The 12,802-nt window shown below is 42.5% G+C and overlaps 1 protein-coding gene across 18 annotated transcripts in view, besides 1 other annotated feature; it reads right to left on the bottom strand.

The window, feature by feature from the left end:
- SPATS2 (spermatogenesis associated serine rich 2) overlaps positions 1-12,802 on the bottom strand; it is a 160,574-nt gene that overhangs the window by 69,320 nt on the left and 78,452 nt on the right. For 2 of the 18 annotated variants that reach the window (XM_047429407.1, XM_047429408.1), the window contains one exon: positions 3,721-3,881. The exons of 15 other annotated variants lie outside the window; for them this stretch is intronic. The gene's annotated coding sequence lies outside the window, so the exon portion shown is untranslated. Of the gene's footprint in view, positions 1-3,720; positions 3,919-12,802 lie in introns of those variants that run through there. One more of the 18 variants, XM_047429410.1, reaches the window with a different exon arrangement.
- Positions 4,437-4,937: an enhancer, noted in NCBI's record as "H3K4me1 hESC enhancer chr12:49846952-49847452 (GRCh37/hg19 assembly coordinates)". NCBI's record gives its function as "activates a minimal SCP1, AML or CMV promoter by ChIP-STARR-seq in primed H9 embryonic stem cells {active_cell/tissue: H9 hESC(primed)}" and the evidence as "EXISTENCE:reporter gene assay evidence [ECO:0000049][PMID:30033119]".

The raw sequence follows: 12,802 nt of genomic DNA, 5'->3' as shown, positions 1-12,802 counted from the left end.
ATGCAAGAAGGAAAGGAGAGTACACTTATATTAAATAATTTCCAATTTGAAAAGAGGAGACTGAAGAGTCAAGTAGGTAATTCTGCGAAAGTTTTAAAAAATATTCCATCAAGATTAAGAACCTCTACAAACCACAGTGGGACCTCAGGAAAAGCAGGGTGAGTATTTGAAACTTACCATCTTCCAGAACACTGAGCCAAGCTGTGAGAACCAGCCAAAGCCTATGGAAATATACAGAATATACCCCTGGATAGGGCACACTTAATAAGATTTTAGAAAAAAGAACAGAACTCAGATCTGCCAAAAACAACTGAACCCTTCAGTGGCAAGCTTCTCAACAGCACATGTCCTCAGGTTAAAGAAAACAGGATGAGGCCGGGCATGGTGGCTCACACCTGTAATCCCAGCACTTTGGGAGGCTGAAGCAGGTGGATTACCTGAGGTCAGGAGTTCTAGACCAGTCTGACCGGCATGGTGAAACCCCATCTCTACTAAAAATACAGAATTAGCTGGGCATGGTGGTGCATGCCTGTAATCCCAGCTACTCGGGAGGCTGAGGAAGGAGAATTGCTTGAACCCGGGAGGCGGAGGTTGCAGTGAGCTGAGATCACGCCACTGCATTCCAGCCTGGGCAACAAGAGCAAAACTCTGTGTCAAAAAAAAAAAAGAGGATGAAAGCAACAATCAACAACTAACCATAGTGGATGAGCAGGGGTGGGTCAGATAGGTCCCAAAGAAGTTTAGAAACATATCAAGGTTATTTCATCTATACTCTGTAGCTGCAAACAGAGCTATCCACATATAACATGAAGAAGATAAATAAAAATGACATAGCAGCTATCAAACCTACTATAAAAAAAGAGAAATACAATGAGAGAAGAAATTTCCATGCAACAGATGAAGAACCCAACCTGGAAAACAATATAAACCCTCAAACCAAAAGCAGATTCCTCCTTGAATACTTATTTGAATATTTCAAATAAGAATTTGAATTCAAGTTGAATTCAAAAAAAGCTATAAAATAAATGATAAAAATAGAAGGAAAGTAAATCAGATTGCAAAGTTAAAGAAAAACTGGAAAAAAATTATGGATCCAATAAGAAGTCAGAAATAGCAAGAAACAGAATAGACACAGATGAAAATAGAATGAATGCAATGAAGCAAACCTTTCAGAAGAAAAAACAGAGAAAACAATTATAATAGAAGATAACATTAGGGAACAAAAAATGATCCAATCTAAGAATAACTGGAATCAATACAAGGACTTAAAAATTATAGGACTCAATATAGGGAACAGAAAAATCATTTGCAGACAATAAACAGGAAATTTCCCTTTAAATAAAGACCTGAATCTGTTCATTCCCCACCACCTCCAATCCATCAGAAGAATCCCATGTGTTCTACCTTTAAAATACATCCAGAGCTGGACCACTTCTCACCACATCCACTGCTACTACCCTTGTCTAAATCACGAGAATCTCTCATCCTGAGTCTTCTACTCTGCCACTCTCGCTGCTATTTCACTATGGCTGCTATTAAAATTATAAGACAGATTATGTCCCACTTCTGCTGCTGAAAGCTCTCTGGCAGCTCCCCATTTCATTCAAAATAAAAGCCAGTCCTTACAGTGGCCTAAGTAGTCTTGTCTGTTCTGATGTCCTTCCTTTACCTTTACTCCACTGGAGCCACACTGGCCTCTTTATCATCCCTTTTACACTCTAGATATGCTCTCATCTTAGAGCTCTGAAGGTGTTCCCTCTGCCAGGAATGTTATTTCCCACAGTTATCTACATGGAATACTTCCTCAATCTCCTTCAGGTCTTTTTTCAAATGTTATCTTCTCTGTGGTTATTCACAAGAAACCTACTGAACCTATGGTAAGAACAGTGGCAGTCTATGGCTGCTCCCATCACATACCCCCAAGGTGACTGGGAAAGGTAGTTCTACCAAGGCAGGGAAAGCCATGAAAACCAGCAGCTTCACTGACAGAGGGGGCTGACTTGTGAAGCAAAGCACAGAAAAACCCCATACCCACAGGCAGGCAGTAACAGTTCGCTTTCTTGGTGGCAAACAAGCAAGACCAAGGGCTCAGCTAGCCTGAGGTTGCTGTCATGGTTGGTGCAAGCAAAAGAACAGGAGATTAGATAGAAATTTAAAAGGGAAATCCAGAAACAAGACTAAGGGACCTGGGCACCATGGCTCATGCCTGTAGTCCCAGCACTTTGGGAGGCCAAGGTGCGGGGACTGCTTTAGCCCAGGAGTTTGAGACCAGCTGGGCCAACATAGCAAGACTGTGTCTCTACAAAAAATACAAAAATTAGCTGGGCATGGTGGCATGTGCCTGTACTCCCAGCTACTTAGGCGGGTGAGGTGGGAGGATGGCTTGAGCCCAGGAGGTCGAGGCTGCAATGAGCCATGACTGTGCCACTGCACGCCAGCCTAAGCAACGGAATGAGACCCTGTCTCAAACAAACAAACATAACCTGGCAACAGAGTAAGATCCTACCTTGACAAAAAATAAAATTTAAAAATTAGCCAGGGATGGTAGCACACACCTGTAGTCCCAGCTACTCGGAAGGCTAAGGTGGGGGCACTGCTTGAGCCCGGGAAGCTGAGGCTGCAGAGGGCCATGACTGTGCCACTGAACTCTAGCCTCAGCAACAGAGCAAGATCCTGTGTCAGAAAACAGAGACTATAGGAGACCTTGGTAAATGTTCCACACATTCATGATGCAGATATTGGAGAAGGTCCAAACTATCCACACACCTCTGGCTGACCATAAGCGTACACATAGCAGCAGCAAAGACTCAAAAAGGCCCAGTGGAAATTAAAAATTATGAGCTTTGAAGGCAGTTCCCAACACACAAAGATCTACAGACAGAGGGTGCAAGCTTTACTGGCTCATGGTGTTTTAATACAACCTTTAACCAATCGCTAACTGACCAGAAGGATAATAGATACAGATGTAACTTCAGCAAGCCAGACTTTAAAATTTTTTTTAATTAAAAAAACAAAACCAAAAACGGTAAAAACTGAGCAGACCCTTTAGTTTATGAAATCGTATCAACGCTACAAAGGCAAGGGTAAAGGCTGTGTGCACTTTTGAAACTTTATGTGCAATTGATGGTGGTGCTGAGATATGAAAGGCTAGCATGAACGTGAAGAGGTAAGAGCACATGACAAAACTTGGTGGTGCAGAATGGACTGTTTTTTTTTTTTTTTTTTAAAGACAGAGCCTCACTCTGTCACCCAAGCTGGAGTGCAGCAGTGCGACCCTGGCTCACTGCAACTTCCACCTCCCAGGCTCAGATGATCCTCCCACCTCAGCCTCCTGAGTCACGGCTACAGGCGCATACCACCATGCCTGGCTAATTTTTTTATCTTTTGTAGAGACAGGGTTTCACCATGTTGCCCAGTCTGGTCTCTAACTCCTAGGCCGAAGCAATCCTCCTGCCTCAGCCTCCCAAAGTGCTGGGATGACAGGCATGAGCCACCACGCCTGATCCATAATGGATATTTTTAAACTTGGTGATATGTGTCTCTCAATCCTGAAGCTTTGGTGAGAGGGTATGCAGACAGCAATAACAGCAAATGATGTATGAATGTTTTTTGCATTCAAAGAACATCTACATCTGTTGAAAGACTTTAAGTGAGTTTTGTTCTTAGATAGCCCACATTAGTTGAATGTATTAAATGAACCAATACTTGCATTTCCCCTACCTCTTTGTCCACTGCTGTAAATGCTGTATGATGTGTGTTCTCTTCTGTTGCTGACATGCAAGTGTGGTCATATGAACTGAAGCGGATGGCTTGAGAATATAGACAGGCTTGTGGTGTACTTTGCAGGAGTACTTGGAAGCAGAGTTCACTAGTGACCTCAGCTGTCACAAAGAAGGGTGGAAGTTCGAATGTCTGGTTAGCTACTTATAAAAATGCTATTCGCGGCCAGGTGCAGTGGCTCGTGCCTGTAATCCCAGCACTTTGGGAGGCCGAAGCGGGCGGATGACGAGGTCATGAGATCAAGGCCATCCTGGCTAACACAGTGAAAGCCTGTCTCTACTAAAAATACAAAAAAGTTAGTTGGGCATGGTGGCGGGAGCCTGTAGTCCCAGCTACTCGGGAGGCTGAGGCAGGAGAATGGTGTGAACCTGGGAGGTGGAGCTTGCAGTGAGCTGAAATCATGCCACTGCACTCCAGCCTGGGTGACAGAGCAAGACTCCGTCTCAAAAAAAAAAAAAAAAAAAAAAAAGAATGCTATTTGCTGCAATTCTGTGTCCCGTGCTTGGATTTTGTCTTTTTTAGAGCCAGGGTCTTCCTCCGTTGCCCAGGGAGTGGCACGATCATAGCTCACTGCAACCTCAAACTCCTGGGCTCAAGCGATTCTTCTGTCTTAGCCTGCTAGGTGGCTGCAACTACAGGCACATACCACCACACCCAGCTAACTTCTTTTATTTTTTGCAGAGACAGGGTCTCACTATGTTGCCCAGGCTGGTCTTAAACCCTTGGCTTCAAGCAATCCTCCTGCCCTGACTTCACAAAGTGTTAGGATTACAGGCCTGAAGCACTGAGCCCAGCCCAAATTGATTTTAAATAATAATTTAAAAAATATGTATAAAAACTGAGCAGAGACATCAGCAACCAGCAGCCACATACCACAGTGAGAAAAAGATTCCACAGATTTAGTCCAGGAAAGTTACTTAAAAAATAAAAACAATAAAGCAACGAAAACCCTCAGAAGGAGGAAAAATCCAGAAATCAAAGTTGCTACAATATAGTAGCTAAAATGTCCAGTTTCAACAAAAAGTTATGAGATATTCAAAAATGCAGCAAAGTGTGACCCAAAGGCATGTGAAAAAACAACCACATGGAGTTGGAAATGCCCCCGAGTAGGCCCAAATGCTACACTTCGCAAACAGACTCCAAATTTCTTTTTTTTTTTTTTTTTGAGACGGAGTCTCGCTCTGTGCAGCCCAGGTGGGAGTGCAGTGGCGCAATCTTGGCTCACTGCAAGCTCCGCCTCCCGGGTTCATGCCATTCTCCTGCCTCAGCCTCCCGAGTAGCTGGGACTACAGGCGCCCGCCATCACGTCCGGCTAATTTTTTTTGTATTTTTAGTAGAGACGGGGTTTCACCGTGTTAGCCAGGATGGTCTCGATCTCCTGACCTCGTGATCCGCCCGCCTCGGCCTCCCAAAGTGCTGGGATTACAAGCGTGAGCCACTGCGCCCGGCCTCCAAATTTCTTTAAAGGACTAAAAAAAATAGTAGAACAATGCCTCAAACAAAAAGAAAATCTTAACGAAGAGATAGAAATTATTTTTAAAGAGAACCACGGTTAAAAAAAAATAAAAAATAAAGAGAACCATGATATAAACAGGGCACAAATAAATTTGGAAAATAAAAAAAGACAACCAAATCAAAATTCTGAAGATGAATACTAGAGTGGAAGAAAAAAATCAGAAAACTTGAAGAAAGGACAAGAGAAATTATCTAACTTGAAGAAATGGGAGAAAAAACAATGAAGAAATACAAGCCAGGTGCAGTGGCTCATGCCTATAACTCCAGCATTTTGGGAGGCCAGGTTGGAGTATCGCTTGAGGCCAGGAGTATAAGACCAGCCTAAGCAACACAGTGAGACGCTGTCTCTATAAGAAATTAAAAATCGGCCAGGTGTGGTGGCGCATGCCTGTAGCCCCAGCTACTTGGGAGGCTAAGGTAGGAGGATGGCTTGAGCTCAGAAGGTCAAGGTTGCAATCAGCCATGAGTCTGAGCAGCAAGGCAAGACCCTATCTCTTAAACATTAACAAACAAAAAGTAAAAATTTTTTAAAAAGTAAAACAGTCTCAGAAATGTGTGGAACAATGTCAAGTATACCACTATACACAAATTAGAAGCCCCAGAAGAAGTGATGTGAAAGAGGACAAAAATGGTGACCAAAAACAATTTGCAACTTGATTTTTTTTAAATGTATCTACAGAGTCAGGAAGCTCAATGAATTATAGCTGCAATACACACAAAGAGATCCACATCTAGACATATCATAGTGAAACTGATTAAAGCCAAAACCAGAAGATCTTGAAAGCAGCAAGAACAAAAATGAAAACAATACTTCATCATGTACAGGGAAGCAACATTAACAGCTGACTTCTCATCAGAAGCAAAAGAAGCCAGAAGGCAAGAAATGACATTCAAAGTGCTAAAAGAAAAAACCAGCAACCAAGAATTTGATATCTAGCAAAGCTATCTTTCAAAAATGAAGGTGAAATAAAGACATTTCAAAGACTTACAGAGAATCCATTGCTTGCAAACCTGACTTACAAGAAATTCCAAAGGAAGTCTCTCAAGTTGAAAGGCAAAATGACATCAGATGGTAACCCGACTGTACCCAAAGAAAGAGCACTAGGAAAAGCAAATATGTAGGTACATATAACGTATGTATTTTTGGCCAGGTGCAATGGCTCACGCCTGTAATCCCAACAGTTTGGGAGGCCAAGGCCAGCCTGGGCAACACAGCAAGACCCTGTTTCTACTGAAAATAATTTAACTAAAGTATGTATTTTTTAACTTCCTTCTCTTAAATTTTTAAAAAGAATTCAACTAATTATTACTGTTTTATGTAATACAAGATTAATAACAATACTGAATTATTAGGTTTATAGCAAATATAGATATAATAAACATGAAAACAATTGCATAAAAGGAGAAAGAAGCTATATTACAGAATTAAATTAGCATTAATTTAGTTAAATTGGGCTATAAGATGCTTATTATAATGACCAGACAAGTACTAAGAAAACAACTGAAAAATAGTAAAAACAAAAGACAAAAGCAATAAAATAATCATACGCTTAAAAAAACTATTAAACACAAAATAAGGCAATAAAAGAGGTACAAACAAACAGAAAAAGCCAAAAGATACACAAAAAAACAAATACCTGGCCGGGCATGGTGGCTCACACCTGTAACCCCAGCACTTTGGGAGGCTGAGGCAGGTGGATCACCTGAGGTCAGGAGTTAGAGACCAGCCTAGCCAACATGGTAAAATCCCATCTCTACTAAAAATACAAAAAATATTAGCTGGGCACAGTGGTGGGCGCCTGTAATCCCAGTTACTCGGGAGGCTGAGGCAGGAGAATCACTTGAGTCCAGGAGGCAGAGGTTCCAGCGAGCCGAGATCGTGTAACTGCACTCTAGCCTGAGCAACAGAGTGAGACATCATCTCAAGAAAAAAAAAACAAAAAACAAAACAAAACAAAACAAAAAATAGGCTGACACAGTAGCTTGCGCCTGTAATTCCAGCACTTCGGGAGGCCAAGGCAGGTGGATCACCTGAGGTCAGGAGTTTGAGACCAGCCTGATCAACATGGAGAAACCCTATCTCTACTAAAAATACAAAAATTAGCTGGGCATGGTGACGCATGCCTGTAATGCCAGCTACTCAGGAGGCTGAGGCAGGAGAATCGCTTGAACCTGGGAGGCAGAGGTTGCAGTGAGCCAAGATCACGCCATTGCGCTCCAGCCTGGGCAACAAGAGTGAAACTCCGTCTCAAAAAAAGACTCCACTCGGCCAGGCGCGGTGGCTCACGCCTGTAATCCCAGCACTTTGGGAGGCCGAGGCGGGCGGATCATGAGGTCAGGAGATCAAGACCATCCTGGCTAACACAGTGAAACCCCGTCTCTACTAAAAAATACAAAAAATTAACCAGGCATGGTGTCGGGCGCCTGTGGTCCCAGCTGTGGCTGAGGCAGGAGAATGGCGTGAACCCAGGAGGTGGAGCTTGCAGTGAGCCGATATGGTGCCACTGCACGCCAGCCTGGGCAAAAGAGCGAGACTCCATCTCAAAAAAATAAATAAATAAAATTTAAAAAAAAAAGACTCCACTCAAAAGACAGAAATTGTTAGAGTGGCTGGAAAAACAAGATCCAACTGTATGCCATCTACAAAAAACACACCATAGATTCAAACACAGAGAGATTGAAAGTAAAAGAATGAAAAAAGATATATCATGCAAACCAATAAAAAAAGGGCTTAGTATCAGATAAAATGGTATTATTAGAGACAGAGAGAAATCATATTATAAGAGAGTCATGACATCAGAAACAGAATTATAAATATATATCCACCAAACAATAAGACCTAAAATACATGCAGCAAAAATTGACAGAAAGAATAAAGAGTTCAACAAATGATAAAGACTTAAGTATCCCACTCTCAATAACTGATTGATATGGTTTGGCTGTGTCCCCACCCAAATCTCACCTTGAATTGTAATAATCCCCATGTGTCAAGGGTGGGGACAGGTGGAGATAACTGAATCATGGGGCAGTTTCCCCAATACTGTTCTCACGGTAGTGAATAAGTCTCAAGAGATCTGATGGTTTTATAAATGGGAGTTCCCCTGCACAAACTTTCTTGCCTGCTTCCATGTAAGACATGACTTTGCTCCTCTTTCACCTTCCATTATGATTGTGAGGCCTCCCCAGCCATGTGGAACTGTGAGTCAAACCTCTTTCCTTTATAAATTACCCAGTCTCAGATATGTCTTTATTTGCAGCGTGGGAACAGACTAATACATTGATTAAAAACCCAGACTGGGCCAGGCACGGTGGCTCACGCCTGTAATCCCAGCACTTTGGGAGGCTGAGGCAGGCGGATCATCAGGTCAGGAGTTCGAGATCAGCCTAACCAACATGGTGAAACCCCGTTTCTACTAAAAATACAAAAATTAGCTGGGTGTGGTGGCACGTGCCTGTAACCCCAGCTACTCAGGAGGCTGAGGCAGGAAAATCGCTTGAACCCGTGAGGCGGAGGTTGCAGTGAGCTGAGATGGTGCCACTGCACTCCAGCTTGGGCGACAGAGCGAGACTCTGCCTCAGAAAACAAACAAACAAACAAACAAAAAAAACAGACAGAAAATCAGTAATACTCCTCCATCCAACAAGAAAAGAATATTATATTCTCTTCAAACACAGCCAGAACATCCTCAAGGACAGACTATATACTAGGCCAAGGATCAGCAGACTATGGCCCAAGGGCCAAAGTCAGCTCTACTGCCTGTTTTTGTAAATAAAGTTTTATGCTAACATAAGCATGTCCATTGATTTATGTATTGTATTTGGAGGCTTCAGCACCAAAACGGCAGAAATGAATAGTTGTAACACAGACCATATGGCACATAAAGCCAAAATATTTATTATATGGCCCTTTATAGAGAAAGCTTGTTAAATTTTATAATAGATCATAAGAAATTCCCAATTTTTTAATGATTGAAATCATACAAAGTAGGTTCTCCAACAACAACAGAATTCAATAAAAATGAAGAGCAGAGAGAAATATGGGAAATCGCTAAACATTTCAAAATTAAAGAACATGCTTTTTTTTTTTTTTTTTTTTTTGAGACAGGGTCTCACTGTCACCCAGGGTGGAGTGCGGCAGCACAATCATGTTTCACTGATCCTCTCACCTAAGCCTCCCAAGTAGTTGCGACTACAGGTGGGCACCACCACACCCAAATAATTTTTGTATTTTTTGTAGAGATGGGGTTTCACCATGTTGCCCAGGCTGGTCACAAATAAACAACATAGTTTTAAACAACTCATGGGTCAAAGAAAAAAAATTCACAAAGGAAATTAGAAAATATTTTGAACTGAAAGAAAATAAAAACATAATAGCCAGGCGTGGTGGCTCACGCCTGTAATCCCAGCACTTTGGGAGGCCAAGGCGGGCAGATCATGAGGTCAGGAGATCGAGACCATCCTGACTAACACGGTGAAACCCCGTTTCTACTAAAAATACAAAAAAAATTAGCCGGGCATGGTGGCGGGTGCCTGTAGTCCCAGCTACTCGGGAGGCTGAGGCAGGAGAATGGTGTGAACCCAGGAGGCAGAGCTTGCAGTGAGCCGAGATCACGCCACTGCACTCCAGCCTGGGTGGAACAGTGAGACTCGGTCTAAAAAAAAAAAAAAAAGAAAGAAAATAAAAATATAACACATCAAAATTTATGGGGTATAGCTAAATTGGTACTTAAAACATCTATAGCAGAAAAGAAGAAAGGTCTTCAATCTATAGCTTGAGTTTCCAATTTAAGAAATTAGAAAAAGAAAAGCCAACTAAATCCCAAGCAAGCAGAAGGTAGGAAATACTACAGATTAGACCACAATCAATCAAAGAGTATATGGAAAAACACTAGAGAAAAGCAATAAAACCAAAAGTTGGTTCTTTTTACCTACAGATAGGTTGACCAGAATAAAAAAGACACAATTTACCAAAATCAGGAATAAAACAAAGAACATCATTACAGACCCTACAAAAATTCAAGGGATTATGAAGAAATGCTATGAGCAACTTTATGTCCACAAATTTGACAACTCTGATGAAATGAACAAATTCCTAGAAAAACTTACATTACTAAGATTGACTTAAAAAGGGTAGGATATCAAGAAATTGAATTAATAATCTAAAATCCTTCCCACACACACACAAAAAAGCACAAGGCCAGATTGTGTCTTATCAAATATTTAAAGAAGAAATAATAGAATTCTCCACAAACTGTTTTAGAAAATAGAAGAACAGGCCGGGCACAGTGGCTCACGCCTGTAATCCCAGCACTTTGGGAGGCCGAGGTGGGGGGATCACGAGGTCAAGAGATTGAGACCATCCTGGCTCACATGGTGAAACCCCATCTCTACTAAAAACGCAAAAATTAGCCAGGCATGGTGGTGCGCACCTGTAGTCCCAGCTACTTGGGAGGCTGAGGCAAGAGAATCGCTTGAACCCAGGAGGCGGAGGTTGCAGTGAGCCGAGATTGCACCACTGCACTCCAACCTGGGGACAAAGCGAGACTCTGTCTCAAAAAAAGAAAAAGAAAATAGAAGAACAGTCTGGGTGCAGTGGTTCATGCCTGTAATCCCAGCACTCTGGGAGGCCAAGGCGGGTGGATCACCTGAAATCAGGAGTTCAAGACCAGCCTGGCCAATATGGCAAAACCCTGTCTCTACTAAAAATACAAAAACTTAGCCGGGCATGGTGGCAGGCACTTGTAATCCTAGCTACTTGGGAGGCTGAAGCAGGAGAACTGCTTGAACCCAGGAGGCGGAGGTTGCAGTGAGCCGAGATCGTGCCATTGCACCCCAGCCTGGGCGACAGAGTAAGACTGTGTCTCAAAAAAAAAAAAAAGAAAAGAAAAGAAAATAGAAGAACATTCTCTAATTAATTCTATGAGGCCTGTGTAGCAGGCAGAATTCTAAAGATATCTCCCCAAGATTCCTGTCCCCTAATTATTCAATCAAACATAATCTATGTACTGCTACGAAGGGACTTTGCAGATGTAATTAATGTCACAGACCTTAAAATAAGGAGATTAGTCTGGATTATCTGGATGGGCCCAATCTAATCGCATGAGCCCTTAAGACGGGAGAAATTTCTCTGGCTAGAGCTAAGAAAGATGCATCACAGAGATGTGGCAAAGGGGAAAGACAGATTTGAAGCAAGAGGAACCTAACCTGCTGTAACTGGCTTTGAAGGGGGCCAGGAGGCTAGGAAATGCAGACAGCCTCTAGAAGCTGAGAAGAATCCCAGGCCAACAGCCAGGAAGGAACTGGGAACCTCAGTCCTACAGCCACATGGAACTGCATTCTGCCAACAGCCTGAGTGAGCCTGAAAATGAATGCTTCACTAGAGCTTCCTGAAAGGAACAAAGCCTTGCCTTGGTTTCAACCTTGTAGAGAACCATCTGAGCCACATTGTGCCCAACATCTGACCTACAGAAACTGAGATGAGACATGCATGTTGCTTTAAGTCATTAAGTTTGTGGTAATTTGTTACAGCAGCAATGGAAAACTAAAAAAATCCATGTTTCCCTGATACTGCAACCAGACAAAGACATCACTAGAAAACTACAGATCAGGCTGGGTGTGGTGGCTCACACCTGCAATCCCAGCACTTTGGGAGGTCAAGGCGGGCAGATCACCTGAGCTCAGGAGTTCGAGACCACCTTGGGCAACATGGTGAAACCCCATCTCTACTAAAAATACAAAAATTATCTGGGTGTGGTGGCGCGTGCCTGTAGTCCCACCTACTCAGGAGGCTGAGGCAAAAAATCACTTGAGCCCAGGAGGCAGAGGTTGCAGTGGGCTGAGATTGCATCAATGCACTCCAGCTTGGGCTACAGAGTGCGACTCTGTCTCAAAAAAACAAAAACAAAAACAAACCAAAAAAACACTACAGATCAACATTCCTCATAAATATAGGAGAAATACATCATTAACAAAATATTAGCAAGCCAGGCCAGGCACGATGGCTCACGCCTGTCTATAATCCTAGCACTTTGGGAGGCCGAGGCAGGCAGATCACTTGAGCTCAGGAGTCTTGACCAGCCTGGGCAACACTGTGAAACTCCATTTCTACAAAAAACATTTTTAAAAATTAGCCAGGTGTGGTGACACACACCTGCAGTCCCAGCTACTTGGGAGGCTGAGGGAGTAGGATCACTTGAACCTGGGAGGTTGAGGCTGCAGTGACCCAAGATCGCGCCACTACACTCCAGCCTGGGTGACAAAGTGAGACGCTGTCTCAAAAAGAGAAAAGATAAAGAAAAGAAAATAAATATATATATATATATGCAAGCCAAATTCAGCAACATAGAAAACAATTGTAATACCATGACCAAGTGGGACTTATTCCAGGAATGGAAGATTGGCTTAACATGCAAAAACCAATTAATGTAACACACAGTATCAATCAAATAAATGATAAAAGTCACATGATCATCTCAGTAGGTACAGAAAAAGCATTTTCACGCACCCA

Source organism: Homo sapiens, chromosome 12 (genome assembly GCF_000001405.40).
Source record: "Homo sapiens chromosome 12, GRCh38.p14 Primary Assembly".
Classification (NCBI taxonomy): domain Eukaryota; kingdom Metazoa; phylum Chordata; class Mammalia; order Primates; family Hominidae; genus Homo; species Homo sapiens.
This window is presented reverse-complemented; position numbering and strand designations above follow the sequence as displayed.